This window comes from Homo sapiens, chromosome 2 (genome assembly GCF_000001405.40).
Source record: "Homo sapiens chromosome 2, GRCh38.p14 Primary Assembly".
In the NCBI taxonomy this organism is placed as follows: domain Eukaryota; kingdom Metazoa; phylum Chordata; class Mammalia; order Primates; family Hominidae; genus Homo; species Homo sapiens.
The window spans coordinates 159,224,626-159,250,589 of record NC_000002.12 but is presented as its reverse complement, the minus strand read 5'-3'; the positions used below and the strand labels follow the sequence as shown (position 1 = coordinate 159,250,589).

Genomic DNA, 25,964 nt, shown 5'->3' with positions numbered 1-25,964 from the left:
TGGGAAGAGGTGGACTCGATAAACTGTCATGACCATTCTCTGATTTGTTACATTCAAGGCTGGCTGTGGTGATCAGCTAACACTGTGCTGCATTTTAGAGGTACTTCCCTAACTAAGCACTTTTGAGTACTTTGTGTTGAAATAGCTTTCTCTTGAAACTGGATGGTGATTTCATAAAGAATTTGAGGGAATCTTTTTAAGTTATAAATATTTTTGCAAAATCATATTCAACATGTAAAGAAATCATTGATTTGTTTGTGACACTTTAAAAAAAATTGTTTTAAAAATCCTCAGTTTCATTTCAGCATATCCCATTGGAAGGAAGTCAGAGGAAAGCAGCCCTTTGGTGGCAGGAAGCTGCTAGGGTAACTTGCCACATTCACATGAATGTGGGCAATGAGCCCTGACTGACTCAAACGGTTTATTACTCGTGACACAGCAGACACTTGCACTTCAGGTTCTGATTGTTTTCCCTTCCCTTCTTTTTTTTTTTTTTTTTTTGAGGCAGAGTCTCACTGTGTCGCCCAGGCTGGAATGCAGTGGCGCCATCTCAGCTCACTGCAACCTCCGCCTCCTGGGTTCAAGTGAAGTTCCTGCCTTAGCCTCCCGAGTAGCTGGGATTACAGGCATGTGCCAACACATCCAGCTATTTTTTTTCTTTCTTTCTTTTTTTTTTTTGTATTTTTAATAGAGATGGGGTTTTGCCATGTTGGCCAGGCTGGTCTTGAAATTCTGACCTCAAGTGATCCACCTGCCTAATCCTCCCAAAGTGCTGGGGTTACAGGCATGAGCCACTGTACCCAGCCTCCCCTTTCCCTCTTAAGTAAGTTTCATGGTGGTGGTTTATGTTTATGTCACAGCTGAGGAGCCCTGAGCTTGGGAAACCCCCAGTCTTATGAGGGGGCTAAGCAAATAGCCCCCAAGAGGCAAGACATTATAGTAGTCAGGAAACATCTGCCCTCCCACAGGGAGGGACGCACTATCTCTAGCTTCCAAGGATGTTTTCAGACATCCTCAAGAAGACTGTCTGAAACACAGGGTGTCCTAAGACATGTATAAACCTCATGGAGCATTACCTCCCAACAGAAAGAAAGTTGGTTTGGCTTTTTCTAGTAACTGTAAGGCATTCTGAAATCTAATTCTTCTACCCACTTCAACCTAAAGTAGAACTGTCAACTAGTTCTAAAAGTGTAAACAGCCAATAATTCTAAAATTCCTAAAATTCATTAGACTTTCTAAAACTAAAAATCTTTTAAAGTTAAGAATAAAAACAAGTGAAACTGTTTATGGTTTGGACAAACAGATGAGCTTTATTTGTGATTGTGTTTCTTACAAGAATCAGCAAATATATCCAGTTTCATTAAGTTTAAAAATATCGTAACATGGCATTTTTATGTTTTGAACTCAAACATATTTAAAAATGATTTTTAGGAAATTTTTTGTTGTGTAAGTAAGCAGTAATGAGCCTTTTCTGATTTTGTAGAGTATATTAGTGTCTGGCAACCTGAAATTCTTGAACTTTCAGAATCTATTTAAAATGAGCTATTAGCTGCTGATATATTTTAACCAACAGTATTCTATACAACAGAGATTTGTTAAGGAATTTATAAAGAAAACAATAGTTCATGCGGTAAAACAGTATGTCAGAAGATTTCTGGTGGTAGTAGATAAAATCTCTATTTGTGGCTGGCTGTGGTGGCTCACACCTGTAATCCCAGCACTTTGAGAGGATGAGGCAGTAGGATCACTTGAACCCAGGAATTCGAGACCAGCGTGGGCAATATAGTGAAACCTTATCTCTACAGAAAATACATAAATTAACTGGGCATGGTGCCATGTGCCTGTAGTCCCAGCTACTCAGGAGGCTGAGGTGGGAGGATCACTTGAGCCCAGGAGGTCAAGGCTGCAATGAGTGGTGATCGTTTTGCCACTGCACTCCAGCCTGGGCAAAAGAGTGAGCCCCTGTCTCAAAATCAACCCCAACAACAAACTCTATTTGTGAATAAGGATTACTGGTAGTATCCTAGTAGTAAGGATTACTAGTAGTTATCCAGCCCTAACAGTAATTTCTTTTCAGAATCTCTAGGACTGCGTAGTAAAGTGCTGAGGAAAATTGAAGAGCTCAGGACCAAGGTTAAATCCCTTTCTTCAGGAATTCCTGATGAATTTATATGTCCAATAACTAGAGAACTTATGAAAGATCCGGTCATCGCATCAGGTATGTGTGATGCTATACTAAGTTGCAGGGGATGTTTTGTGCTAAATGAATAAAAAGTTTAGACAGTTCTCAGAAGTTTGCTTAAATGTGAAGAATTTTAAGTAGTTTTTTCTTAAACTAATTAAACCTTGGGTGAACAAATGAATATTGTATATTTCATAATGAAATTGAACAGAGTAGTTGTGGAGTTGACACAAAAGGATTAAGTTTTACTTAAACTTGTGAAATGTGTATTTAGTTGCTAGGATGTAAAGATAAAATACTATTTTTTAAAGACAGATTGTTGAGATCTCTTGTGTTTGTCTATCATGAATTTAAACAATCTTCTACAAAGAATTTAATTATAAAGTTGTATCATTCCATATTTCTAAGTGTTAACAGACCTACATACTTTATTATACATAGTTGTAATCAGTGAATCCAAATTTTATATATATATATATTTATATATATATATATATTTATATATATATATATATATATATTTATTTAATTTTGGCCTACAGCTTCCTTATATGTTTCTGAATATTGGCTTAGTCTATGTTGACTTTGTCTGGAGTTTTCACTTTGAATAGCTTTATCCCATTGTGGCTGTATGATACATTGTGTTTGACTTTTCTGTTAGTTGGTGTGTATGTGCTTGCAAATCTTTACACTGTAAATGGCATTATGCTGACATCTTGGCACATTTCTGTTTTTACCATTTCTTAGGGTTATTTACGTGGGTTATATGTTGCAAAGCAGAATTAGTCAATTTGAGGATGTTTTATGAATGTGAAAACAGTTTGACACATTTCGTTAGATGTGTTATTTTCTAGGAAAAAAAAACAGTTTAGAGTGCTGCCAGTAATATATCTAATTGTACCTGGTTTTCCAGTTTTGTGATCATTGTATTTTATAACTCCATTTACTTTTGCCAGCTTAATAGTTGTTTTGAAACTATAGTCCTTACTTGGCTAGGGAGGCAATGAATTTTTTTTACATGGTAGTTTACTATTTACATATATTTGAGTATAAAACATCTATTCATCTTCTCTGATAATTAGCTGATGGACTTACTTTGTATATGCTGTCCACTGTCCACATTATTAGTGGAACTAATTATGTAGTGTCTTATCGTTATGAGTTCATCTGTATTAGGTACTTAAAGCTGTACCTGCATATAATAAACACTCAATAAAAGTCAATTAGCTATTTTTATTTCAGGCTATGAAATTTGCTATGAGTATAGCAGTGGCTGCACATTTTTTGACTGGTTTATCAGGACTCTTGTTTGCAGTTGATTTATTAAAAGTGAATCTTAGGAAAACCTGGCAGCAAAGAGTGTAATAGGGTTCTGTCTCAATTTATTGAGAGGCTTCTGAATATTCACTCTGATGTTCAGTGTGCTTTTTTTCTACAAAAAAAACCACACGTGACCATAGACAGGTCTCAAATTTTAGTTTCATCCATGAGGCAGATACCAATCCAACATTTCCTTCTGGCTGCAACTCTTTTGAGTCTGGCTGCTTTTTCTCAGCTTTCCAGATTGATCTAGCTTGTAGTATCAGTAATTTATATTTATTGCTGAGTAATGTTTCCTTGCATAGATATGCCATAATATGTTTATCCATTAACCTGTCAGTGGACTTTCAGGTCTTTTCTATTTTGTGGCTATTATGACTGAAGCTGCTGTAACATTTATGTACAGATCTTTGTCTGGACATTTCTCATTTCTCTTGGTTAAATATATAGGAGTGAAATTACTGGGTTGTACGATAAGCGAATGTTTAAAGGGACTACCAAAATGTTTCTCAAAGTGATTGTATCATTCTAATTTCCTAGCTGAGTCTTCCAGTTTCTCCACATCCTCTCCAGCACTTGGTATTGCTAGTCTTTTAAATTTTGCCATTTTAGTGGATATGAAGTGGTATCTCATTGTGCTTTTTTTTTTTTTTTTTGAGACAGACTCTCGCTCTGTTGCCCAGGCTGGAGTGCAGTGGTGTGATCTCTGCTCACTGCAAGCTCCGCCTCTCGGGTTCACACCGTTCTCCTGCCTCAGCCTCCTGAGTAGCTGGGACTACAGGCACCCACCACCACGCCCGGCTAATTTTTTGTATTTTTAATAGAGACGGGGTTTCACAGTGTTAGCCAGGATGGTCTCGATCTCCTGACCTCGTGATCCACCTGCCTTGGGCTCCCAAAGTGCTGGGATTACAGGCGTGAGCCACTGTACCCGGCCTCTTATTGTGCTTTTAATTTGCATTTCCCTCTTGACTAATGATGTTGAGCATCTTTTTCTGAGCTTATTTATCCAGTCATATATCATTTCTGTAATTTATATCTTCAAGTTTTTTCCCCATTTCATGTTGGATTATCTTACTGTGTTGTGAGTTCTTTAGATGCAAGTCTTTTGTAAGGTAATGTATTGCACATAGTTTCTCTTGGTCTTGTAGCCTGCCTCATCACTTTCATAATGATGTCTCTTATAGAGACAACGTTTTTAATTTTGATGAAATCTTATTTTTCACTTTCATACTTTGAGTCCTAAGAAATCTGTCTACCCCAAGGTTTCAGAGATCTTTTATCCTTTTTTCTTCTAGACAATTTAAGGTTTTAAATTTTAGGTTTAGGTCTAGGACTTATTTCACATTTTTGTTTATGGCTTTCCTAAATGAATATCCAGTTGTTCCAGCATCACTTATTGAGAAATCATTTTATTAATGAATTACCTGGCATGTTTGTTGAAATCATCCATTTCTAGACTTTGTATGATGTTTGATTGATTTTTATGTCTATCTGGGGGCCGGTTACCACAGTGCTTCGATTACTGTAGCTTTATAGTCTTTTTTTTTTTTTTGAGACAGAGTCTTGCTCTGTTGCCCACGCTGGAGTGCAGTGGCTCCATCTCGGCTTACTGCAACCTCCGCCTCCCGGGTTCACGTGATTCTCATGCCTCAGCCTCCCAAGTAGCTGGGATTACAGGTGTGTAACACCATGCCTGGCTAATTTTTTTTTATTATTTTTAGTAGAGATGGGGTTTCGCCACGTTGGTCAGGCTGGTCTTGAACTGCTGGCCTCAGGGGGTCTGTCCTCCTTTGGCTTTCCAAAGTGCTGGTATTACAAGCATGAGCCACGGTGTCCGGCTGCTTTATAGTAAGTCTTGAAGTCAGATAGTGAAAATCACATGACTTAGTTCTTTTACTGTTTTGATTATTCTTGCTCCTTTTGCATTTCCACATAGATCTTAGAAACACTTTCTCAGTTTCCTTGCCCGGATTTTCACTGGGATGGTGTTTAATCTATAGATTAGTTTGGAGTTGAACTGCTCTAATCCATGAACATGGTATCACTTTGCATTGCATTTGCTTAGGTCTTCTTTTCTGTTACAGGTTTTGCACATTTTGTCAAAATTATCTTTAGGTAGCTTATTTTAAAAAAATGTTTAAATTTTTACTTTTTAGAGATGAGGTCTCATTCTGTTGCCCAGGTTGGCATGCAGTGGCACAATCTTAACTCACTGCAGTTTCGACCTCCTGGGCTCAAGCAATCCTTCTGCCTCAGCCTGCCAAGTAGCTGGAACCACAAACACCTACTACCATGCCCGGCTAACTTGTAAAAATTTTTATTTTTGTAGAGATGGGGTCTCTCTGTTGCCCAGGCTGGTCCTGAACTTCTGGCTTCAAGCCATCCTCCTGCCTTGTCCTCCCAAAGTGCTGAGATAAGACGTGTGAGCCACTGAGCCTGGCCAGTAGCTCATATTTTTATAACTGTACAATTTGAGCAAATAGAAATACAATGTTATATATTGACTTTGTGACCTTGCTACATTGAGTAGTAAAGTCATCCTTCAGTAACCAACTCCCTCAACACAAAAGTCTGTGGATGCTCTCTACACACCACACATCCTGTCCCCTTTCAAATCATCTCTAGCTTACTTATGCCCAATACAATGTAAGTGCTTTGTAAATAGCTGTTATACTGTATTGGCTTTTTTTTTTTTTTTATCAGCAGTTAGTTGAATCAGTGGATGCAGACCCCTTAGATATGTAGGGCTGTTAGTAGCTTTTTAATAGAAGCTTAATAGACTTTCTTCATACATGAGTGTGTCATGTAAGTAATTTCTTTCTTTCCAATTTGTATGAATCCTTTTTTTCTTTTCATGTTATTTTGGGTCAGAATTTCCAGTACAATGTTGAAAAGAAGTGGTGTGTAGACATTGTTACCTTCACCTGCACTTAGAGGGAAAGCATTCAACTTTCACCATTAAGTATGATAATTAGCTCCCCTTATCAAGTTAGTTCCCTTCTATCTCCAGTTTGCTGAGAATTTTTAGGCTATTGACATATTTTTTTTCCTCCTTTAGACTATAATAGGATAGATTGCTTTATTAGTTTGCTATTGGATCATAACGTGTCTCTCTCTTGGGTCTGGCTTCTTAAACATGTTTGTGAGATTCATTTATATTGTTGCACAAAGCAGTTTAATTTTCATTTCTGTATAGAAGTCCATTGTGTGCATATAATTCATTCTGTTGATGGGCATTGTTGGCTGTTATATATAGTGCTGCTATGAACCTTTCTGTACATGTTTTTTTGGTTAACATATGTATGCATTTCTGTTGGCTATATTCCTAGGAGAAGGTATACATAAATAGCATTCCAGAGTGGTTAAATCACTTTCTATGCCCACCAGCAGTGTATAGGAATTCTAATTGCTTCACAGCCTTACTTTTTCCTATTGTCTATGTCTTTGATTTTAACCTTTCTGGTACCACACATTTATTTTTAAATTTTATTATTTTTAATTGATGCTGTTATAAGAAACAATAGAGACATATACCTTGTGCACTTCCCAGCTTTCCCCACTGGTAACATTTTTCAAAATGATACTATTATATCACAACCAGGATATTGACATTGCTAGAACCCACAGATCTTAGATTTCCCCAGTTTTACTTGTACTTATCTGTGTGTGTGAAGCTCTACACAGTCTTATCCTGTCTAGAGGTTTGTGATTACCTTACTACAGTTGAGACAGAGCACTTCCAAATTATAACTGGACCCATGATCTCCCTACTGTCTTCCGACCCCAGCCCCTGGAAACCACTAATTTGTCCACCATTTCAAAAATGGTATATCAGTGGAATCATGTAGTAAAACAGCTTTCAAGTGGCTTTTTTTTCTTAGCGTAATCCCTGTAGACTTACCACTCATTTATTTTTAACCTTCCTGTGTTACTTTGTTTTATAGGTGTTCCTATGGGAAACATACAGTTGAATTTTTTTAAAAAACCCAATCCTAATCATTAATAGCAGAATTGAACCAATTTCTTTCTATTGATGATTGATACATGTGTGGAGAAATTCCTGCCAGCATATAATTCTAATTTCTCTTCTACTTTCCTTTTCCCACCTACATTTTTCTGAATATTCAGAATACATCTTTTTTCAGTTTTTCCTTATGTATATTTTTATATCTATTGGACTAATTGCCTCAGAAAAATTTTCAGGACCTGTTTGTATTTCAGCATTCTTGTACCTCATTTTTATTCATACTTTTAAATTATGAAAGTAATACGGGCTTAGTGAAAAACAGACAAGCGATTTTAAAAATGGGGGCTCTTCTGTATTCTCATGTAGCAATGATACGGTTTAGGTGTATCCTTCTAGTTATTTTTCCATCCATTTATAGTGTCTTATAACAAATGAGTTATGATGCATACTTTATTTATTTTTGAGAGGGAGTTTCGCTCTTGTTGCCCAGACTGGAGTGCAATGGCACAATCTTGGCTCACTGCAACCTCTGCCTCCTCAGTTCAAGCGATTCTCCTGCCTCAGAGTAGCTGGGATTACAGGCATGTGCCACCACACCCAGCTAATTTTTTGTATTTTTAGTAGAGATGGGGTTTCACCTTGTTAGCCAGGATGGTCTCGATCTCCCAACCTCAGGTGATCTGCCCGCCTCCCAAAATGCTGGGATTACAGGTGTGAGCCACCTCACCCAGCCTGATGCATATTTTTAAAAAGTTGCTTTTGGCCGGGTGTGGTGGCTCACGCCTGTAATCCCAGCACTTTGGGAGGCCGAGGTGGGCAGATCATGAGGTCAGGAGAGCGAGACCATCCTGGCTAACACGGTAAAACCCCGTCTCTACTAAAAATATATTTAAAAAAAAATTAGCTGGGTGTGGTGGCGTGTGCCTGTAGTCCCAGCTGCTTGGGAGGCTGAGGCAGGAGAATGGCATGAACCCAGGAGGCAGAGCTTGCAGTGAGCCGAGATCGTGCCACTGCACTCCAGCCTGGGCGACAGAGCGAGACTCCATCTCTAAATAAATAAATAAAAGTTGCTTTTGTTTATCAACAGTGTATCAAACAGTGTATCAGAGAGAACACCATTTGTCAGTGTATTTGGAAGTACATGCTTCATTCTTATCTGCAGGATAGCATTTCCTGGTATGGATGTTACCGAAATTAACTCTTACTCTGTTTATAGGCATCTTTCTCCATTTTTTTGCCAGCTTACCACAAGTGACTCTATAGAAAACATCCAGCTACTTGGGAGGCTGAGGCAGGAGAATTGCTTGAACCCGGAAGGCAGAGGTTGCAGTGAGCCGAGATCATGCCACTGCACTCTAGCCCCGGCGACAATGTGAGACTCCATCTCAAAAAAAAAAAGAAAAAAGAAAACATCCCCAGTCATGTATTTACAGGTACATTTGTATACATTCCTAATACTGATAGGCACTGCTGTACCTTTTTAGTTATGTCCAATCTTTAAAAAAATTTGGCTTGGTCATTTTTGCCAATTTAGCTGTCAAGATAATTTTTGTTTTGAGACAGAGTCTCACTGTGTCACCCAGGCTGGAATGCAGTGACATGATCTCAGTTCACTGAGACCTCTACCTCCTGGGTTTAAGCGATTCTCCTGCCTCAGCCTCCCTAGTAGCTAGGATTATGGGCACGTGCCACCATGTCTGGCTAATTTTTGTATTTTTAGTAGAGACAGGGTTTTGCCACGTTGGCCAGGCTGGTCTTGAACTCCTGACCTCAAGTGATGTGCCCAGCCAAGATAAATTTTAGAATCATCTTATGTTACAACACAAAGTGGTATTTTGGTTAGAATTACAGAAAACCTAAAAACTAAATGTTAACTGGGGCTAAAGAGTAGAAATGCCTGCCCTGCACTGGTAGGTGTTCCAGCTAGATTATTTCTTTCAGGTCTATTCTGAACATATAAAAACCTCCTAAACCTGATCTGCCCACTCTGCTTTTTCTCTAGAGCCTTCACCGTGTTGGGTTATACTTGGTTATACTCTGACTTCAGGTATGCTTTTCAGTTGCAGTTCAAGTATACTGTCTAATTCCTATTTGTCATCGTAGACTTTTCTCTTTCATGCCTTTCACTAGTTCTGGAAATGTTTCAGCCATTCTCATCCCCTGCAGCTTCTCTCTTAAGCCTTTCTAGGTGTTTTTCTTGGACCTGCCTACCAGTTGTCTTTCCTGCAGTTGTCTAACTGCTGTTTACCTGTCCAATGAGATTTTTTTAAAATTTCAGTTACTATAGTTGTCCTTTCTGGAAGTCCCGTGTACAGGGAGAGTAAGAGCATTGTCTGTGGAGCCACACTGCTTGGGTTTAAATCCCAGGTCAGTTGCTCCCTACCTGTGTGACCCTGGAAAGTTATTCAGGCCATACCTCAGTTTCCTCATTTATAAAATAGGAATGCTAACAATATCTTACATCATAAGGTTGTTGTGCAGATTAAAGAAGTTAATATAGGTAATGGTGCCCTGGAACAGTCTAATGATATGCTGTTTGGCAATAAGCACTTCAAAAGACGGTCAGTGTCATTAATGCCAATCAAAACCATGTCATACCTGTTAAGATGGCTAGAATCAAAAAGTAGGAAAATACGTGTTGGCAAGGATGTGCAGAAAATGGAACCTTCATGTGTGGTTGCTGTTGAAAACAGTCTGGAAGCTCTTCAGAAAGTTATTACAATTCCACTCCTAAGTCTATAGGCAGGAGAATTGAAAACACATAATCATACAAAAAGTTGTACAGGCATAGCAGCATTATTAGTAGCCCAAAGGTGGAAACAACCCAGATGTCCATCAACAAGTGAATGCATGAAATGTCGTATAGCCATACAAGAGAATATCGAGCCATAAAAATGCACAAATATGTAGAGGATGGACCTTGGAAAAATTATGGTAAGTGCAAGAAGCCCTATACCAAAGGCTGCATAGTGTATGATTCCCATTATATGAAATGCCCAAAACAGGCAAATCCATAGAGACAAAGTCAGTTAGAGGTGGCCACACGCTGCGGGGGCAGTGACTGCTAATGGGTATGGGATTGATGGAGTGATACACAACTCTGAAATATACCAAGAACCACAAATGGGTGCATTTTATGGTGTGAAATATATCTCAAAAAGAGCAAAAGGCAGTCACAGGTAACAGTTTCTGCAGAAAGCATGTTTCCTTCTCTAGGACGGAGGAAACAGAAGTTTAGTTTCTCAGAACCTCAGTCTCTCAGGGCCAGAACTCAGGCCCCCAAGGTGGGGGAGCTACACAGCTGGTACTAATTTGTAAGTAGGCAAAAGTAACACAGAGGTGAAACAACCAAAACAATCCAGATCTGGGGTTTCACCATGTCGCCCAGGCTGGTCTTAAACTCCAGGGCTCAAGTGATCCACTTGCCTTGGCCTCCCAATTGCTGAGATTATAGGCATGAGCCACTGAGCCTAGCCGACTTTCTTATATGATAAAAAATACATATACCTTGGCACAGAAGCCAGTGGAAGCATTCCCATTACAGTCAGGGATATAAAGGATGCTCTCTCTCAGCTATTGTTTTAGAAATATTAGCCACCCCTTGCCCCCCCACCAAAAAAAACTTGAAAGGGAAAAACCCTTTCTATATAACTGTATATGTAGAAAGCCCAAAAGAATAGAAAATCTATAAACAATATGAATTTTGTAAAGTAGCAAGTTAAGTAAGATTCAGTGAACCAAAGCACTTAAAAGTTATAACTGAATAGTTAAGTTACAGTAACAAAAACTAGAACAAATGAGACCTAAACTTGGCTGGGTGCAGTATAATCCATGTCTGTAAACCCAGCACTTTGGGAAGCCAAGGTGGGAGCGTTGTTTGAGCCAAGGTGTTCTAGACCAGCCTGGGCAACGTAATGAGACCCCCTTCTCTACAAAAAATTTTTAAAAATTAGCCAGGTGTTGTGGTGTATGCCTGTAGTCCCAGCTACTTGGGAGGATGAGGTGAGAGGATTGCTTGAGCCTGGGAGGTCGAGGCTGCAGTGAGCTACCGTCATGTCACTGGACTCTAGCCTGGGTGACAGAGTGAGACCCTATCTTAGAAAAAAACCACACACACCAAAACCCCAAACTTAAGAAATAGGTAAAACTTTCAACCCTACATAAAAACAAAAACATCCCTGTGAAAGTATAATGGCAGGTGGAGCATGCTGAGGGGTAGGAAGACTCAGTGGCTGCGGGATATCAGCTTTCTCCATTTCATAGGGTTGACATGATCCTGATAAAACTTTTTACCGAGAGATACACAAGGTGATTCTTCACGTGGAACCTAATAAACAAGAACAGCAAAAATAACCTAGAAAAAAACAATGAGGAAGGTTGCTGGTCCTATGAGATGTTACATGTCGAGAACCTCCATAAGTGAATGTGTAGTGTTGGCCCAGGAATAGAACAATGGAAAAGTTTAAAATCCAGAAATCGATCCATGTACATTTGGAAATTTAGTGATTGATAAAGATAGCATTTAAAATCAGTGGTAAAAATCACTTCTAACAAGTGGTATTTTGACAATAAGACCACCCTGTGGAAAAGGATAAAATTGGATCCATCTTGCATAGTGTATATTTAAATTCCAAATGAATCAGAAACCCAGACATAAAAAGGGAAACCTGCAGAGCGCAGCGGCTTGTACCTGGAGTCCCAGCTATTCCGGAAGCTGATGTAAGGAGGGTCACTTGAGCCCAGGAGCTTGAGACCAGCAGGACCCCATCTCTTCAAAGACTTTTAAAGTCCCAAAGACAATGTAAGTAAATTCCTTGATAGAATTTGTAAGTAAATTCCTTGATAGAATTGGGAAAACTTCGCTCTCTGGGAATCAAGGGAGAAATTGATGAAGTGTTGATATTCCATATATATGAAATCTTAAGGACAACCTAGTAGAAAAATGGGCAAAAAATATGAATAGCTCACAGGAAAAAGAAAAGCAAATGGCTCAAACATATGAACAAAAGATTCTCCAGCTGATATACTGTACCATCGCTTACCTAGAGACTGGCAAAAATCCAGGAGTTTGACAACATATACTGTTGGTTAGGCTGTAGGGGAAAAAGGCATTCTCATAAACATTGCTAGCAGGAATGAAAAACTTAGAATTCCTATGGAAGGAAGTTGGCACTATCTAGCGAGATTATATATGCTGCTTTAGCAATCCTACTTCTGAAATCTCCCCAAAAGTGACACATGCATAAGACTTCATTGTAGCACTATTTGTATTTTGTGTGTGTATGGTTTTCTTGGGGTTTCCTTGGTACGGCACTATTTGTAAAAGGCAAAGATTGGAAACCACCCAGATGTCCTTACATCTTACATCCTTACAGTGGAGTACTGTGGGGAAAATAAACACACCAAGTTGCAAAATAGTGTGGCTAGTATGCTAGCTTTTATGTAGAATGTATATGTACTGTGTGCACATATACATATTTGAAAATGGATTACACATGGTTACTTATATGGGAAGGGTGGGTAACAAGGATTGGACAGGGTTAGATTAGACCCCTCTGAAGGTACCTTGTTTTATAGTTGTAACTTTTTTTTTTTTTGAGATGGAGTCTTGCTCTGTCACCCAGGCTGGAGTGCAGTGGTGCGATCTCAGCTCACTGCAACCTCTGTCTCGCGGGCTCAAGTGATTCTCCTGCCTCAGCCTCCTGAGTAGCTGGAATTACAGGCACCTGCCACCATGCCCAGCTAATTTGTGTATTTTTAGTAGAGGTAGGGTTTTGCCATGTTGGCCAGGCTGGTCTCAAACACCTGACCTCAAGTGGCTCCACCCGCCTTGGCCTCCCAGAGTGCTGGGATCACAGGTGAAAGCCACCACGCCCAGCCTATAGTTTTAACTTTGAAACCAAGTAAGTGTTGTTTTCAGACACAGTATTTTGGGACCACTCTAGTCCTTGATGACGGAAAGAACCATAAAGTAATCTTAAAATTTCTTTCAGTTTTATGTTAGTAAATATACTGGCATTATTTTGAAACAGTGATATGTACTGTAGACTAAATGAGTAAATGAAATCAGGAACCAAGATTTTCAGCTTGAGAAAGAGCTACAAGTATAAAAATGAAAGTAGTGAAGCAAAAGTCCAATCTTTACATGTATAAAGGCAAATAATTTTGCAAGAATATGGTTTTAAAAAAACCTTGGTGGCCGGGCATGGTGGCTCATGCCTGTAATCCCAGCACTTTGGGAGGCCAAGGTGGGTGAATCACCTGAGGTCAGGAGTTCAAGACCAGACTGGCCAACATAGTGAAACTCTACTAAAAATACAAAACATTAGCCAGATGTGGTACCAGGTGCCTGTGATCCCAGCTACTTGGGAGGTGGAGCTTGCAGTGAGCCAAGATCTCGCCAGTGTATGCCAGCCTGGGCAACAGTGTGAGACTTGGTCTCAAAACAAACAAACAAACAAAAAAACCTAAGTCCCTTCGCTGTCAAATCCTTAGGGGAGTAAATTCTGTCATCTCTGGGTACCTGTTTTCCTGACTTTTCAAGGTGTTGAAAAGAGCCTTATGATTCAGCCAAACTTTCCAACAGCTCTGATGGGCAGTTTATCCTCACTCCCACTCTACCCAGCTCTGTTCCTTTCTTCTCTTCCACTGTGTCTGAATTTGACAGGGTCCCAGTCTCAGTGGTACTGTTCAAAGTGTTTATAATGTTACTCTTCTGGGCAATTTTTGCTTCATACGTCTCCATCCAATCAATGCATTTCAGGTGTTGTGGCAGAGAGATTTTTGGGGGTGCTGGTACAAGCAAGACAGGAATAACCCTTAAGTCACAATAAAGGCCTCTGCAGGGAGTTTTTACATTCACTTCATTTTAGACATCCTCATTTCCCTTTCCTACATCATGTAATTTGTGTGATTTTTTTTTTTTAGATGGCTATTCATATGAAAAGGAAGCAATGGAAAATTGGATCAGCAAAAAGAAACGTACAAGTCCCATGACAAATCTTGTTCTTCCTTCAGCGGTACTTACACCAAATAGGACTCTGAAAATGGCCATCAATAGATGGCTGGAGACACACCAAAAGTAAAATTGTTGATATTGTATTATTTATATTTTCAGTGATCTCATTTGAATGATTTATAGGTAAATACTAATCAGACATTATTAAAAGCAAAACAGGAAAAAGGTAAACTTCTTAAATTTAGTTACCTATAAAAATTGTCAATTTTCATTCTTTAAAAAACACATGGACTTACTATAAAAGCCTTTTTGTACTAGTGAAAAGAATCTTCAGCTATATAGAAATAAAGTTATACTTTAAATTGCAGTGTCCTAAGTTTTTTAAATTCCTCTTACTATCATTCCCAACAGTGCCCACATTTATTCTTGTTAGATGTAGGTCATCTCTCTTTATAACTAAAGGTTGGACTACTCTAGAATAACAGATGTTTACATTCTAGGTAATAGCCATTCATTCAATAACTCTTTGGAGGCCTTTTAAAGAGACCATTTTGTAGCAAAATGGTTGTAGATTGTTTATGATTAAATGGAGAAAAATCACTTCAGATGTTGAAGCAATTTTTTTGGATTTTAAGTTTGCAGGATAACGATTTTTTTCTTATTTTCCAAACCTAGGTACAAGTTAGATGAAATAAATTCTGAGTAAGTCAAGTTGACTTTGCTGAAATATATAACGTGACAAACTCTAGCCTCCCTTCAGAATGAAGAATTATTAAATGTTCTCACATATAATTCTAAGCTGGAGTAACTATACAAAGGCATTTTTACACAATAGCCTGATATGTTCACTCCAGAAAAAAAACTTCAGGTTCAGGAAGTAAAGGTGGTGCTAACTTCTTGCCTGTCCAAAGTTGTTACTAGAATGGAAGCCATCCGCGGGAAGCTTGTTAGAACTTCACTGTCAGCGCAGGCTGAGCCTCTGGGACTGCACCCTTCTTTGCACTATTACCTCCAGTTGCTGAAGAATTGTTCAGGAACGTTGAAACTTGGAAATAAAAAGGGAAAAGCAATGTAAATATAGGAAAAGGCTGACTACGCATTTTATGAACTCATAGCTAATATGCTGCATGTTCACAGAAAGGCAGCAAGCCTTGCTAACATGGAAATCTCCAAACATTTCTTTGTAATTCTTTGTAAACCTTTTTAACTTAATGTATTGCTAAACTTTGTTAACCTTTACGACATAACTAGGATTCATAATCAATGGTTCCAGAAAACTTTTTTATTAATATGACATGCTTCTCACATTCTTACTATTGAGGATTAGAAAGGCTAGAAGCATGTTCTAGGTGTTTTTCTGTTGTATTCTTTTCTTGTAGGGTCTCGCTCTGTCACCCAGGCTGGAGTGCAATGGCACGATCTTGGCTCACTGCCGCCTCTGCCTCCTGGGTTCAGTCAATTCTCCTGCCTCACTCCCAGGTAGCTGTGATTACAGGTGCGTGCCACCACACCCAGCTACTTTTTGTATTTTTAGTAGAGAGAGGGTTTCACCATGTCGGCTAGGCTGGTCTCAAACTCCTGAGCTCATGATCCACCTGCCTTGCCCTCCCAAGTTGCTGGGATTACAGGCGTGAGCCACCAGGCCCGGCCGTTTTTCTGTTGTATTCTTTAAATAAAGTATGCTAATAATTTCAGCAGAACACTTTTTAAACTTAAAAGAACTTACCATTGGTCCAGCTGTCTCTGTTTTGATAGACATTTTCCGATGGAGGAGGTTAGCTGGTTTTTAAATAAAAATTAAATCATTCAAAGTCATTGCTAGAAAATGCAAAAAGCCTTTTTTTTTTTTTTTTTTTTGAGACGGAGTCTCGCTCTGTCACCCAGGCTGGAGTGTAGTGGAGCGATCTGGGTTCACGCCATTCTCCTGCCCCAGCCTCCTGAGTAGCTGGGACTACAGGTGCACGCCACCACACCCAGCTAATTTTTTGTATTTTTAGTAGAGACGGGGTTTCACCATGTGTTAGCCAGGAGGGTCTCCATCTCCTGACCTTGTGATCCGCCCACCTTGGCCTCCCAAAGTGCTGGGATTACAGGCGTGAGCCACTACGCCTGGCCAAAAAGGCATTTTTTAAAATAAGTGTTAAGGTATTTTGCTTTTCTTTCTTTCTTTTTTTTTTTTTGAGACTTGCGCTGGAGTGCAGTGGTGCAATCTCGGCTCACTGCAACCTCTGCCTCCTGGGTTCAAGTGATTCTCCTGCCTCAGCCTCCTGAGTAGCTGGGACTACAAGCGTACACCACCACGCCCAGCTAATTTTTGTATTTTTAGTAGAGACGGGGTTTCACCATGTTGGCCAGGATGATCTCTATCTCCTGACCTCGTGATCCGCCCGCCTTGGCCTCCCAAAGTGCTGGGATTACAGGCATGAGCCACCACGCCCAGCCAGTATTTTGCATTCTTATACTTTACCAGGCTAGTTTCTTGTAAAACAAAACTGCTGAAAACTAAGATGCCAGTAATTTACCTAATTGACACATCTCTTCTTGTATAAAACATAAACCAAAGCCGAACAACTGTCTTCCACACAAGCAAACCAAAACCATCAGTAAGAGGGGACATGAAACAGCCCCCATGCTGGGCACTCCAGACCCCACTGTTAGTTCAGGGCAATGTGGAGCAGCAACACCTGCCCACCACCCAGTCCTGTCAGGACTGACCATTAGCTTTCTAAGGATGTATCACCTCTTCCTGGCTGGGCCAAGTACCTTACTTATCTTTACTAAGTATATATCAAAATCATAATGTACAATAAATTACGAGAATATTCTTATTAGCTCCTTTACAGGAAAAATCATCTAATGACAAGAATTATGTATTAGGCGATACGTTCCTTCCCATCCCGTTTTTGTTTTTAACCTTCCATTAAATATAAAGCTCTAAAGGACTGAAACTACTTAGCCTTGCTAGCAAGAGCAGTGACCAAATAACCTGAGGTATTATGATGTTTAAGATTCCAAGAATTTTATCACAATACAACACAGTTTAATGTTCTCTCTCATATTACTTTGAAATATGTAGGCATAAAGACATACTTTTAACTGAAAGATAATACAAATGTGTTAAAGAACAAACTGTCATAACAGTGTTCAGTGTATTGCCAAAGTGTTTGAGAATTACAGTAGTAAAGATGTCCCGTTGCCAGTAAAAACAGACACCAAGATGTCTTGAAACAGATAGATAGGAAGTATATATTGCTTTCCTGCATGCTTTCTTTCTATTTGAGGCAAAAAGACTAAATTTGGCCCTTGAGTATTGTGGAATTTCTAGCAGCTGTCACCCTTATTCTGAAATTATAAAACGAAATTAAATAAGCATTTTGTAGTGTTAATATAAAATATGCTTTTCACTATTCCCTCTAGGGTAACAAAGATTAAAAGCAACAGAGATAGCTGTCATCAGGCTGTTCTCTACTTATCCATTGACTCATTTAGTGCAAAACACATTCTATTAATAGTCTTTATTCCATATGGAAAAGTACAGTAGTTGTGCAGAAACAAAACTAACAAAGGAGTAAGACTTTCACAAATATTAAAGAAAATAAATAAGCCATAGTAGTTACAGCAAAACTCATGGAAAGCCTATAAAAATGATAAAGCTGTTCATACAAAGTACAATTGTACACACAGGAACAAACGTTGAAGAATGACATCAGAGGTTCCTATTTGTACAAAACCATAATGATGTTCACAGGAACTTCATTACAACAATTCACTTTAAAACATTCTGCAAATATATAACTTCCTTCTCCTCAATTTTAGAAAATAAATTTCACATCCCAACATATAAAACAGATACACTCCTACTTCTCTCAAATTAGCATTTTAACATCTTCCAATAACACACCATTTTCATATAAAAATACCTTTAAACCAAGGTTCATTCCTGTACCTTATCTTTACAAATGAATAATACATCAGAGCTTGGACTTAAGTAGCACCTCAAAGGTGTTCATATAAATGAGATAAAGTGCTGTTACTGGTATACTGTTAACATGCCCTAATAATATATCATTCAGTGCAATAACCAGCATGGATGAAGCTTACAGAGAACATGCAAATCGTGACTGGGGTTTTCTTTTTTGTTTTTAGATTAACTACATTGAAATAGTTCTATTTACAAGTCTGAATAAAACTGGGCTATTTAATATATACAACATGTGACTATAAAGTACTAATTGTACAACAAAACAAAAGTAACAACCAGTCTTACCTTTAGTATCTGAATTAAATATTGTCCTTAGAGGAGCTTGGAAGGATTGTTCCAGGAGCACTACCATTGTTAAAAGCAGTTTGGAAACCAGGTGAGAGCTAATTTATAAGCGCCACTAAGAATGCTGGTCTTAGTATTTTAGCTTGAATCCACTTGACCACCAATCATGACTCCAAATGGCTTATACTGTTTCCAAATATCAAAAACACCTTCAAGCACAAATATAGGTTCCAAAAGTGCTATAAAAATATATGAATAAGAACCATAACACAGAAATAAGTGTTTAATCCCTTTATAGGAACTGCTATGAAGAGAATACTTAGGTGTTCTCATATTCTGCTTAAAAAAATTGGCTGCGTTTACAGTCGCACTTATATTTAGCTAGAACTCACTCAGAACTTAATTTTTATGTATATATAAAATGGGATTTGACTCAATGGAACTGTAACTGTAAAATTCCATCGTTTCCAGAATACATCACTTGGATGTACATCACTTGGTCATGAGTTAAACCTGTTACTCTTGAACAATAGACATATTTATTCTCTAAGTAAGTTCTGTGATTCTACCATATAGCAAAGGCAAGGAAGAAAGTGGCAAAAGCCAAACAATTTCATAAGTGAGAGTCATTAATGTCTTCTGGGCTGTCTTAAAATTTTAAGTTGATATAATTTTCAATTCTGTTTAGCATTCTTATTTATGGTGATTTCTAGCTATTAAAGAAGTTTTATCCCACATTTTAGATATATCAATGGCATCAGATCCACCCCAAAGAAAAAAAATGGCTAAAAAATAATTTTTCTGATGAAAAAAACTATTTAATTTACCACCAGGAGTCAACACACGTTTCCAAATTCCACAAATGGGGATTTCTTAAGGTTCACACATTTGACTCTATAAATGATCGCTTTGGTTTGGCTGCAGTGAGGTGGCTCCTGTGGGCTTCATTACTAATATGAGGCTGCTGTTTGGAGATACTTTCCTGGTACAGATGAGAAACAGTCTTAGTTATCCTGTTCTCTTGAGAGTGGACTGGAATTTGGCACTTGCTTTCTTCTAGCTCCTTCACTTGTGCCCCATTGTGGACACTTGCACTCAGGGTAGAAACAGAACAGGTTTTGGCTTGGTTATTATATCCTCCCACTTGCATGAGAGAGGGCTTCTCAGTGTTAGCAGACTGCAGGCCAGCTGCAGAAGACGTGTTTGTCAGCAGCCCCTCTGGTGCCGGACAGTGCCAGCTGCGGCTTGGAGGATTGCTCTGCTGTTGGAACCTCGCAGTCTTATCCATGATGCCCATGAACGGCGTGTTGCGGGGTCTGTGCTCAGCTGTACCGCTCTGAACGTGGGTTACAACCTTGTCTTTAATTCTAGTATCTGGTCCTTGGACCTTGAAGCCATCTGAAAAACTGCTGCTCGAAGTCAAACTACTGGTTGAACTTGACATCTTTATGCTGCTGGATGGAGAACCAGAAGAGCCTGAGCTGGTGAGGGAAGCTGGGTGTCGCACGTCGCTGCAGGTCGCCAGCCCACCTTGGTTTGGAGGGGCTGCGTCCACAGCCACGGAGGAATGAGACAGAAGCCTCTCTGTGGTTTTCGTCTTACTTGGTAAAGGGTGTGCAGGGCCATTCTCACCACACTGCAGGCGGACATTCTGGCTGGGGCCCAGCCGATCCCCAAAGTGGCCACAACCAGCTCTTGTAGTGAAAGTACCTGTTCCCTCTAAATGCTGGGTTCTGCTCCCAGCAGGAGTGGCAGCGATTCTCCCTGGCATGGGACTTGGAGGAGGGTTCTGAGAAGAGATCTGAACTTTCATACTGCCATTTCTCACTGCCGACTGGCCAGAGCCCAGGTGCTGGCTGGTTTTCACGATCTGGGCCTGCTTGGAGGGCTGCAGGAGCAGCCCTGGCTGGGCCACAGGCTCTCTCAGGGACTTGCCGATTCCTGCCCTGCTCTGTGGCGATACCGGCCTTCCTTTGGACTGTAACCCTTCTTGAAGGTTTCGGATGTATGAGGAAGGGACAGATGAGGATGGCTGGGACCTGGGAGTTGGGGAAACAGATTCTTCCTGGGGAGAAGTTTCTTCCTCTTCAGTCTCCTCAGAGTGAAAGTGGTCACTTAAGCCAGGGGTTGGGGTGTCCTCTTCGTTCTCGGAGTCGTTGAGTGGAGCTGGTAGCGGGCCCTGCTGTTTTTGCTGTTGACTCCTCTGGAGTTGTTTGCACTCCTCTTCTACGCGGGCCAGAAGCCTCTTGACTTCCTGATTGGTGGGACAGAGTTTCACAGCCTCTTGCAGGTCAGCCAGAGCTGCCACGAATTGCCTTTGTAGGAAAATGTAAGGTAACATTACAAACCACACACGAACATGCTCAGAGTGTAACTGTTCATAAAAGAGCTGTGCTCAAAGGAAAGAGAAGGTAGCAAGTGAGTTTTGAACACTTACGGTGGTGGCCAGGACCCACTTAACCAGCCCAGAGTAACTCAGCTAAGTGGCAGTGCTGAATTCTAACCTAGGTAGGTGGGACTCTACAGCCCTGCTCTCCATAAAGACCACTGGACTGGGAATAGGGAGAAGCATGAATCAGTGGGCGCCAGAATCTTTTTAATATTGTTACCATCCCATGGTAACACTGTGCCCATCTCTCAGTCAACAGGCTTATATCACTCTTCCCCACCTCTGAACTTCCTAATGTCCCTAGTTGGCAGTTTCCTTGAAATATGGACTAAACTAGGTAGGAAGTTCATGTTGCAGTAAGTTTCACGTGGGGGGAGGGGTGGGAAGGAATGATTATTGAGACGTCAGGAGAAAATAGAAGTTTACTCATCACTGATAATGTCCACTACTATGCCTCTTGGAAGCAGGTAGTAATACTAATTCACTACTAAAAAGGATGAGAGGCACCTGAGCAACACTTCTGCAGCAAAACCTCCCCAAATTCAACAGGCAGGTTTGATCCCACAAGAAAAAAAGCTCTAGACACAAAGATAACCACAGACGGTACCTGCTATTTCTCTTCGCTCTTGCTCTGGCATAAAAGGCTTCATAGGACTTGGGCTTCAATTCGAGAGCCTTGGAAGCAAATTCCTCTGCCATGCCAAAGTCCTGGTGTCGACAAGAAATACAGGAGTCAGAAGCAGCCTGGACACACGATTGTGGGAAGCCCGTCTAGTTTTGTTCTAAAGGGTAGCAGCGCTCTGAGGCACAGCCAGAGAGGGAGGAAGGGAAAGTTCCGTTTTCTATCTTGTTTTAAAGTGAGGAGATAATGATGGTTGATTAATATCATTAGGAGAAGAATCCACTATGAAAACAGTGGTAGTAACAGTGCCCCAAGAAGGCCAGATGGTGGAACCTCACAGCCCGGTGGAGGGGCAGCCTCAGAGAGGAGCGCAGACACTGCATCTATTCCGGCAGCAGGGCACAGAAGCAAGCAGCTCAACAGACTGGGGCAGGAGGACACAGTTAAAAAAAAGGTAGGAAGTACTACTGAAACAGATCTACTAGTTACAAATCGACTATGAGTTCCCCACGACCGGTTACAAATTAGTTACTGGCAGACCCTCTGAGCAAACCTAACACAGAAGGCAGGCCCACCACAATAGGCTTGGGTTGGACTCTCCTGAATCCGGGGACGGCAGTGCCAGCAGCAACAGTGTTGGGAAGCTGCAGAGGAGCAGACTGCATTTGCTTCTCATTACTGAGGCCAAGGAAACGAAACCCAAGTGCATTCCTTCAACATCATGCGAGGAGCGTAGCAGCCGTGACCAAACGATAGTCACGGATAGGAGCTGTTTCCCACATGCCAGGTTCATGTAAATGTGCAAGCAAATTGGACAGGAGGGCCCAGGATCTGGTCTGGAGAAGGGCTGGCCTTCACTGCTGGAGAAGGGCTCTGTTGCTGGAAGACTGGGTTGGAATAAAGGGGCACAGCTTACATTTGTTTTTCTTCGGCATCGCGACAAATTGAGATAGAGGGAAACCCTTAATTCATTGAAGGGTCTCATGTCCTCTCCGAATCCTTCTCGAGGAAACTTTCTTAAGGCATACTGGTACCTCTGGGCTGCCTCTTTCATTTTCCCTTTCTAGGATTCAAAAATCACAAACATTTGTCCTTTTTCAGAGGTTCTAAAATGAATAACTCCCACACCTGGAACACCGTGGGGAGTTTACTCCCCCCTGCAAACCCACGACAGAACATTGAAAGCATCCAAACAAGTGTCAAGGTGGGAGCTAGTTCACTAACTGGGCTGGCACATGAGGGCTTCACTGTCCTCACATGCACCCGCATCCTGTGGTTACACAGTGAGAAAGAAGCTGGTTTTACAATAAGGTGTCTGTAAACTGCTAGATTGATAATTACCAAACTTAATGAATCAGATTACCTTCTGGTATGTATTTTTGAAAATTATTTCAAGAATGATCTCAAATCTATTTGAATGCTAAGTGTAATAGAAATCAGATGAAAAACTGATCCTATTCCTAGGACAAGTAGCATCTTGTAGATAAACCTAGAGAGCTTGCTGCAGAATAATAATTTTTCTTCTAAGAGGAATTAAAACATGGGCTTTAAAAATCAGAACAGCACCACACATCATTTTCAAAGCTAAAAAAATCCATTTGCTCAGTCAGTCCCATTGCACAGCAGGTATGAAGCCTGTTGAAAATGGCTTCCTATTTCTGACATAATTGCCTACCAATCCATATTAAAAGCACTTCAAAGCCACAACAATACACTCAACTCAATTTCAAGCTGATTCCAAGCCAGGAACCCTGCTGGGTCATGCTATATTGCCTATTTATTTGTTACTATTTTAAAAAATGAGAAGGAAAAAATCTACAACATACCAAATACAGCTGCCTAACAGTAAAAAGGATTAACATGGTCATAATCTAGTTTTTCCCCTATAATCTTTTAATTCTGTCTAATCACAGAGCTGCAAAGAATAGTGACCTATGCAAATGGCCTGCATATCTATCTAAACCAGGGGTTGGCAAACTATAGCTTGGATACTAAGTCTGGCCAGCCACCTGTGTTTACAAATAAAGTTTTATTGGGACACAGCTGTGTTCATTCACTCTGTGCTATCTGTGCCCCCACATCAGAACTGGGGAGTTGTGACAGAGGCCACACAGTCTGCAAAGCCTAAAACATTTACTGTCTGGCCCTTTACAAAAAAAGTTTGCTGACCTCTGACCTAAACTGATGTCTTATTTGGAAAAATTTAAAGTGAAGTTTATTGATCTGTAAATCATATTTCCATTTCCAAGGGAAAATGGAAAAAATTAATTCAGTCTTCTGAGTAACTGAGGTATTACTTGACTGTATTAAGTAAAAATCTCTAACAACACTTTCAAATTCTAGAAATTAATAGATATTAAAAATTAGGAAAGGCTTAGGAGACAGAATAACCCTTTTCTTCTAGAAATGTCTGCTGGGTGTTCCTCTCCCACGTCTCATGACTGTGCCTCAGCATGGTGTTCTGAACTCAGAATGTGAAGGGCTGAGGAACCTTCTCTATGATGTTCAGTTGACCTAGAGGTGACTCAGCTTCACGCCATGGCTTCAGACAGGAAGTCACCACTACAACCTCAAGGATTAGCTCAGAAATAATGGCTCTCAGACACAAAGAGAGGTGCTTTCTACCTTTAAGATTCTGCCGGAAAGATATTAAGCCAACAACGGGCATGAGGCCAGGTCAGCACCTCTTGGCACTTTTTTTTTTTTTCTTCTGAGACTGAGTCTCACTCTGTTGCTGAGGCTGGAGTGCAGTGGTGCAATCTCAGCTCACTGCAACCTCTGCCTCCCAGATTGAAACAATTCTCCTGCCTCAGCCTCCCGAGTAGCTGGGATTACAGGCACCTGGCTGATTTTTGTATTTTTAGTAAAGATGGGGTTTTGCCATATTGGCCAGGTTGGTCTGGAATTCCTGGCCTCAAGTGATCTGCCCACCTCGGCCTCCAAAAGTGCTGGAGTTACAGGCGTGAGCCACCCCACCCAGCCACTTTTTGCACTTCTATTACATGGAGACTGTGCAGTAGCACAGCTGTAGCCATTATGTACCCAATTAAGAGGGTGCTCCCAGGCAGTTTCAATGGCAAAGAAAAGGGCGGAACCACTTACTTTGTACATCACATTTCCTTCCTCCATTAATTTCTGTAAAAGTATAATCAAGATATCAGGTTTGGAAGTGGCCATCGCCCAAGCAGCATTTCCTGCAAAACAAACACGCATTCAGAGGCACTTCAGAGGCCCTGCGGAAAGGATCCCAATTCCTCCGTGGCCCCACGGCTGGAGGTCAGCACCAGCAGGAGCCCAGCTGCAAGGACCACAGCACGATGAGGGAGGGAGCAGGACGCCGGCGAGGCTGTTGCTAATCCTTTCCCACTGACCTGGGCACTCAAATCTGTCCTTGTTATTTTACTGAAAAAAGTAATGAGAAACGAAGGCATCCGAGCAGCGAAAACTCATTCCTCCCTTCCGGGTGGGATGTGGGGAAAATTAATTAAATGAGGCCTTAGCATAACCTCCTCAGTTCCTGCAGCGGCCACCGTGCAGGCATGTGTTCTCAGCACGCAGTCCCTGTGCTGTGTCATCTGCTGTACTCCGAGATGTCATGGCTTCTCTCTCCTACCCTACAGCTCGGCCACAACCTCTCTAACCCCTGCCTGAGCTCTCGGGACACTGTGGGAGGAGTGCTGAAGAGCACAGCCCTGGAGCCAGCTGCTAGGTCCCCACGGCGAGTACCACAAGGCAGTCCTGGGGGAAGCCATTTAGCTGCTCGGTGCCTTGGTTTCCTCATCTGTAAAATCATGGGATTGTCACTGAGACTTTCAGGGCTGTGGTAGGGATTAAGGCAGAGGGCGAAACTGCTTGGATAGTTCCTGGCACTATTCACTGCTTGACAGTATTAGTGAATAGCATTTTCATCACAGTGCCCTACCCAGAGCTGCTCCTGACCAAGGGCTCCATACATCAAACCAAAATAGTGACCCTCCCCACATCTGGAATGGTGTGTTTGTGTCAAAGCCAGCCACGTGGAAAGGGCTTTCCCTACTCAGGGTCCCCCACACAATCCTCAAGTATCGTCCTAGTTTGTCTCCATGAAATCATACTACTACTTCTTCACAGAAACTTGCTGTGGTGGCCATTTCCCCACACAGCTGACTGGTGGCTCTAGAACAGTGGCTCAGCCTCCGCTGCTGCTCAGAGTCACCTGGGGGAGCTTTCAGCAGCACTACCCGGCCCCACCCCACAGCAAGAGGCTGTGGTTCCTC

At 40.9% G+C, this 25,964-nt stretch overlaps 2 protein-coding genes and 1 long non-coding RNA gene across 60 annotated transcripts in view, besides 7 other annotated features; 1 reads left to right on the top strand and 2 right to left on the bottom strand.

Moving 5' to 3' along the window:
* Nucleotides 1–14,792, top strand: part of WDSUB1 (WD repeat, sterile alpha motif and U-box domain containing 1) — a 50,906-nt gene extending 36,114 nt beyond the window's left edge. For 14 of the 20 annotated variants that reach the window (NM_001330279.2, XM_047443531.1, XM_047443529.1 and 11 more), the window contains 2 exons: nucleotides 2,078–2,218; nucleotides 14,400–14,792. In NM_001330279.2, coding sequence (NP_001317208.1) covers nucleotides 2,078–2,218; nucleotides 14,400–14,557 — 299 coding nt within the window. In that variant the 3' untranslated portion in view covers nucleotides 14,558–14,792. Of the gene's footprint in view, nucleotides 1–2,077; nucleotides 2,219–8,713; nucleotides 10,231–14,399 lie in introns of those variants that run through there. The other 6 variants (XM_047443528.1, NM_001330274.2, XM_047443524.1 and 3 more) reach the window with 4 other exon arrangements.
* Nucleotides 2,372–2,541: an enhancer, noted in NCBI's record as "experimental_53665 CRE fragment used in MPRA reporter constructs". NCBI's record gives its function as "activates a minimal promoter by MPRAs in K562 erythroleukemia cells, with activity observed for the non-introgressed 2:160104645 or rs2024288 variant allele {active_cell/tissue: K562}" and the evidence as "EXISTENCE:reporter gene assay evidence [ECO:0000049][PMID:34662402]".
* Nucleotide 2,456: a transcriptional cis regulatory region, noted in NCBI's record as "Neanderthal adaptively introgressed variant 2:160104645 (GRCh37/hg19 assembly coordinates) or rs2024288 in the experimental_53665 CRE". NCBI's record gives its function as "modulates activity of the experimental_53665 enhancer by MPRAs in K562 erythroleukemia cells {active_cell/tissue: K562}" and the evidence as "EXISTENCE:reporter gene assay evidence [ECO:0000049][PMID:34662402]".
* LOC105373716 (uncharacterized) lies at nucleotides 9,526–15,883 on the bottom strand. The gene is made up of 2 exons (XR_002959431.1): nucleotides 15,325–15,883; nucleotides 9,526–12,565 (listed from the first exon to the last, which is right to left on the bottom strand). It is a non-coding gene; the product is annotated as an uncharacterized LOC105373716 (long non-coding RNA).
* Nucleotides 15,411–15,580: an enhancer, noted in NCBI's record as "experimental_53635 CRE fragment used in MPRA reporter constructs". NCBI's record gives its function as "activates a minimal promoter by MPRAs in K562 erythroleukemia cells, with activity observed for both the introgressed and non-introgressed 2:160091606 variant alleles {active_cell/tissue: K562}" and the evidence as "EXISTENCE:reporter gene assay evidence [ECO:0000049][PMID:34662402]".
* Nucleotides 16,963–17,132: an enhancer, noted in NCBI's record as "experimental_53624 CRE fragment used in MPRA reporter constructs". NCBI's record gives its function as "activates a minimal promoter by MPRAs in K562 erythroleukemia cells, with activity observed for both the introgressed and non-introgressed 2:160090054 or rs4665044 variant alleles {active_cell/tissue: K562}" and the evidence as "EXISTENCE:reporter gene assay evidence [ECO:0000049][PMID:34662402]".
* Nucleotide 17,047: a transcriptional cis regulatory region, noted in NCBI's record as "Neanderthal adaptively introgressed variant 2:160090054 (GRCh37/hg19 assembly coordinates) or rs4665044 in the experimental_53624 CRE". NCBI's record gives its function as "modulates activity of the experimental_53624 enhancer by MPRAs in K562 erythroleukemia cells {active_cell/tissue: K562}" and the evidence as "EXISTENCE:reporter gene assay evidence [ECO:0000049][PMID:34662402]".
* Nucleotides 17,931–25,964, bottom strand: part of TANC1 (tetratricopeptide repeat, ankyrin repeat and coiled-coil containing 1) — a 264,020-nt gene continuing 255,986 nt past the window's right edge. For 38 of the 39 annotated variants that reach the window (NM_001350065.2, XM_047446107.1, XM_047446108.1 and 35 more), the window contains 4 exons: nucleotides 24,811–24,902; nucleotides 22,625–22,771; nucleotides 21,694–21,794; nucleotides 17,931–21,012 (listed from right to left, as the gene is read on the bottom strand). In NM_001350065.2, the coding sequence (NP_001336994.1) occupies nucleotides 19,578–21,012; nucleotides 21,694–21,794; nucleotides 22,625–22,771; nucleotides 24,811–24,902 (1,775 nt within the window). In that variant the 3' untranslated portion in view covers nucleotides 17,931–19,577. Of the gene's footprint in view, nucleotides 21,013–21,688; nucleotides 21,795–22,624; nucleotides 22,772–24,810; nucleotides 24,903–25,964 lie in introns of all 39 variants that reach the window. The other variant, NM_001145909.2, reaches the window with a different exon arrangement.
* Nucleotides 24,497–25,005: an enhancer, noted in NCBI's record as "H3K4me1 hESC enhancer chr2:160082096-160082604 (GRCh37/hg19 assembly coordinates)". NCBI's record gives its function as "activates a minimal SCP1, AML or CMV promoter by ChIP-STARR-seq in naive and primed H9 embryonic stem cells {active_cell/tissue: H9 hESC(naive and primed)}" and the evidence as "EXISTENCE:reporter gene assay evidence [ECO:0000049][PMID:30033119]".
* Nucleotides 25,006–25,515: an enhancer, noted in NCBI's record as "H3K4me1 hESC enhancer chr2:160081586-160082095 (GRCh37/hg19 assembly coordinates)". NCBI's record gives its function as "activates a minimal SCP1, AML or CMV promoter by ChIP-STARR-seq in naive and primed H9 embryonic stem cells {active_cell/tissue: H9 hESC(naive and primed)}" and the evidence as "EXISTENCE:reporter gene assay evidence [ECO:0000049][PMID:30033119]".